Source organism: Homo sapiens, chromosome 1, assembly GCF_000001405.40.
Source record: "Homo sapiens chromosome 1, GRCh38.p14 Primary Assembly".
Taxonomy (NCBI): domain Eukaryota; kingdom Metazoa; phylum Chordata; class Mammalia; order Primates; family Hominidae; genus Homo; species Homo sapiens.
The window spans coordinates 108,485,314-108,489,373 of NC_000001.11; the positions used below are offsets into that span (position 1 = coordinate 108,485,314).

The 4,060-nt window shown below is 49.7% G+C and overlaps 1 annotated feature.

Annotated features, from left to right (window-relative positions):
- Positions 2,978-3,767: an enhancer, noted in NCBI's record as "NANOG-H3K27ac hESC enhancer chr1:109030913-109031702 (GRCh37/hg19 assembly coordinates)". NCBI's record gives its function as "activates a minimal SCP1, AML or CMV promoter by ChIP-STARR-seq in primed H9 embryonic stem cells {active_cell/tissue: H9 hESC(primed)}" and the evidence as "EXISTENCE:reporter gene assay evidence [ECO:0000049][PMID:30033119]".

Consider the following 4,060-nt stretch of genomic DNA (forward strand, 5'->3'; position numbering starts at 1 on the left):
GTCAAAATTTCTACCTTATAGAGAGAATCACAGAATGGTTTAGGTCCACCTCTACACACCTCCCCATAAAAAGGAGGCTTCTCTAATTTTGTCCTTCCTTAGAACACTAGAGCTACATTATTAGACTGTGTTTAATTATTTTTTTTACAGATCTGTCTTCATCACTAAACTCCAAAATGCATATGGTTGAGAATAATATATATTTGGTTTTTGTACCATCAAGATGGGTTCAGTGCCTGGCAGCTTGCTGAAGAAATTAGTCTAGTAGATTACTGGTAATGAAGTCATTTGCACATGAGAGCATCAGATAATAATATTAACACCTCTGAAATCCTTCTTTCGAAAATTATCAAACATTCATGATTTAGCAGGAAGTCAGGGACCCCAAACAGAGGGACCGGCTAAAGCCATGGCAGAAGAACATAAATTGTGAAGATTTCATGGACATTTATCACTTCCCCTAACAATACTCTTATAATTTCCTATGCCTGTCTTTACTTTAATCTCTTAATCCCATCATCTTCATAAGCTGAGGTTGTATGTCACCTCAGGATCCTGTGATGATTGCATTAACTGTACAAATTGTTTGTAAAACATGTGTGTTTGAACAACATGAAATCAGGGCACCCTGAAAAAGAACAGAACAACAGCGATCTTCAGGGAACAAGGGAAGATAACCTTAAGGTCTGACTGCCTGCAGGGTCGGGCAGAATAGAGCCATATTTTTCTTCTTGCAGAAAGTGAGTAGGAGAAATATTGCTGAATTCTTTTCTCAGCAAGGAATAACCCTGGGGAAGGAATGCATTCCCGGGATAGGTCTATAGACAGCCACTCTGGGAGTATCTGTCTTATGTAGTTGAAGATAAGGGATGAAATATGCCCTGGTCTCCTGCAGTGCCCTCAGGCTTACCAGGATTGGGAAATTCCAGCCTGGTGAATTCTAGTGAGACCAGTTGTCTGCTCTCGAACCCTGTTTCCTGTTAAGATGTTTATCAAGACAATGCATGCCCAGCGGGACATGGAACCTCATCAGTAATTCTAATTTCGCCCTCTGCCTTGTGATCTTTTATTGCCCTCTGAAGCATGTGATCCCTGTGACCTATCCCTATTCATACACCCCTCCCCTTTTGAAATCCCTAGTAAAAACTTGCTGGTTTTAGGGGGCAGCCAAGATGGCCAAATAGGAACAGCTCCAGTCTACAGCTCCCAGCACGAGCGACGCAGAAGACGGGTGATTTCTGCATTTCCATCTGAGGTACCGGGTTCATCTCACTAGGGAGTGCCAGACAGTGGGCTCAGGACAGTGGGTGCAGCACACCGTGCATGAGCCCAAGCAGGGCGAGGCATTGCCTCACTCGAGAAGTGCAAGTGGTCAGGTAGTTCCCTTTCCTAGTCAAAGAAAGGGGTGACAGATGGCACCTGGAAAATCAGGTCACTCCCACCCTAATACTGCGCTTTTCCGATGGGCTTAAAAAACAGCGCACCAGGAGATTATATCCCGCACCTGGCTCGGAGGGTCCTACACCCAGGGAGTCTCACTGACTGCTAGCACAGCAGTCGGAGATCAAACCGCAACGTGGCAGCGAGGCTGGGGGAGGGGCGCCAGCCATTGCCCAGGCTTGCTTAGGTAAACAAAACAGCCGGGAAGCTCAAACAGGGTGGAGCCCACCACAGCTCAAGGATGCCTGCCTGCCTCTGTAGGCTCCACCACTGGGGGCAGGGCACAGACAAACAAAAAGACAGCAGTAAACTCTGCAGACTTAAATGTCCCTGTCTGACAGCTTTGAAGAGAGCAGTGGTTCTCCCAGCATGCAGCTGGAGATCTGAGAACAGGCAGACTGCCTCCTCAAGTGGGTCCCTGACCCCTGACCCATGAGCAGCCTAACTGGGAGGCACCCCCGAGTAGGGGCAGACTGACACCTCACACGGCCGGATACTCCTCTGAGACAAAACTTTCAGAGGAATGATCAGACAGCAGCATTCACAGTTCATGAAAATCCACTGTTCTGCAGCCACCGCTGCTGTTACCCAGGCAAACAGGGTCTGGAGTGGACCTCTAGCAAACTCCAACAGACCTGCAGCTGAGGGTCCTGTCTGTTAGAAGGAAAACTAACAAACAGAAAGGACATCCACACCAAAAACCCATCTGTACATCACCATCATCAAAGACCAAAAGTAGATAAAACCACAAAGATGGGAAAAAAACAGAGCAGAAAAACTGGAAACTCTAAAAAGCAGAGCACCTCTCCTCCTCCAAAGGAACGCAATTCCTCACCAGCAATGGAACAAAGCTGGACAGAGAATGACTTTGATGAGTTGAGAGAAGAAGGCTTCAGACGATCAAACTACTCCAAGCTACAGGAGGAAATTCAAACCAAAGGCAAAGAAGTTAAAAACTTTGAAAAAACTTTAGACGAATGTATAACTAGAATAACCAATACAGAGAAGTGCTTAAAGGAGCTGATGGAGCTGAAAGCCAAGGCTCGAGAATTACATGAAGAATGCAGAAGCCTCAGGAGCTGATGCGATCAACTGGAAGAAAGGGTATCAGTGATGAAAGATGAAATGAATGAAATGAAGTGAGAAGGGAAGTTTAGAGAAAAAAGAATTAAAAAAAATGAACAAAGCCTCCAAGAAATACAGGACTATGTGAAAAGACCAAATCTACGTCTGATTGGTGTACCTAAAAGTGACGGGGAGAATGGAACCAAGTTGGAAAACACTCTGCAGGATATTATCCAGGAGAACTTCCCCAATCTAGCAAGGCAGGCCAACGTTCAGATTCAGGAAATACAGAGAACACCACAAAGATACTCCTCGAGAAGAGCAACTCCAAGACATAATTGTCAGATTCACCTAAGTTGAAATGAAGGAAAAAATGTTAAGGGAAGCCAGAGAGAAAGGTCGGGTTACCCACAAAGGGAAGCCCATCAGACTAACAGCTGATCTCTCGGCAGAAACTCTACAAGCTGAAAGAGAGTGGGGGCCAATATTCAACATTCTTTTTTTTTTTTTTTTTTTTTATTTATTTATTTATTTATTTTTTTTTTTTTATTGATAATTCTTGGGTGTTTCTCACAGAGGGGGATTTGGCAGGGTCATGGGACAATAGTGGAGGGAAGGTCAGCAGATAAACAAGTGAACAAAGGTCTCTGGTTTTCCTAGGCAGAGGACCCTGCGGCCTTCCGCAGTGTTTGTGTCCCTGGTTACTTGAGATTAGGGATTGGTGATGACTCTTAACGAGCATGCTGCCTTCAAGCATCTGTTTAACAAAGCACATCTTGCACCGCCCTTAATCCATTTAACTCTGAGTGGACACAGCACGTTTCAGAGAGCACAGGGTTGGGGGTAAGGTCACAGATCAACAGGATCCCAAGGCAGAGGAATTTTTCTTAGTGCAGAACAAAATGAAAAGTCTCCCATGTCTACTTCCTTCCACACAGACACGGCAACCATCTGATCTCTCAATCTTTTCCCCACCTTTCCCGCCTTTCTATTCCACAAAGCCGCCATTGTCATCCTGGCCCGTTCTCAATGAGCTATTGGGCACACCTCCCAGACGGGGTGGTGGCCGGGCAGAGGGGCTCCTCACTTCCCAGTAGGGGTGGCCGGGCAGAGGCGCCCCTCACCTCCCGGACGGGGCGGCTGGCCGGGCAGGGGGGCTGACCCCCCCCACCTCCCTCCCGGACGGGGCGGCTGGCCGGGCGGGGGGCTGAACCCCCCACCTCCCTCCCGGATGGGGCGGCTGGCCGGGCAGAGGGGCTCCTCACTTCCCAGTAGGGGCAGCCGGGCAGAGGCGCCCCTCACCTCCCGGACGGGGTGGCTGGCCGGGCAGGGGGGCTGACCCCCCCCACCTCCCTCCCGGACGGGGCGGCTGGCTGGGCGGGGGGCTGACCCCCCCACCTCCCTCCCGGACGGGGCGGCTGGCCGGGCGGGGGGCCGACCCCCCCACCTCCCTCCCGGATGGGGCGGCTGGCCGGGCGGGGGGCCGACCCCCCCACCTCCCTCCCGGACGGGGCGGCTGGCCGGGCAGAGGGGCTCCTCACTTCCCAGTAGGGGC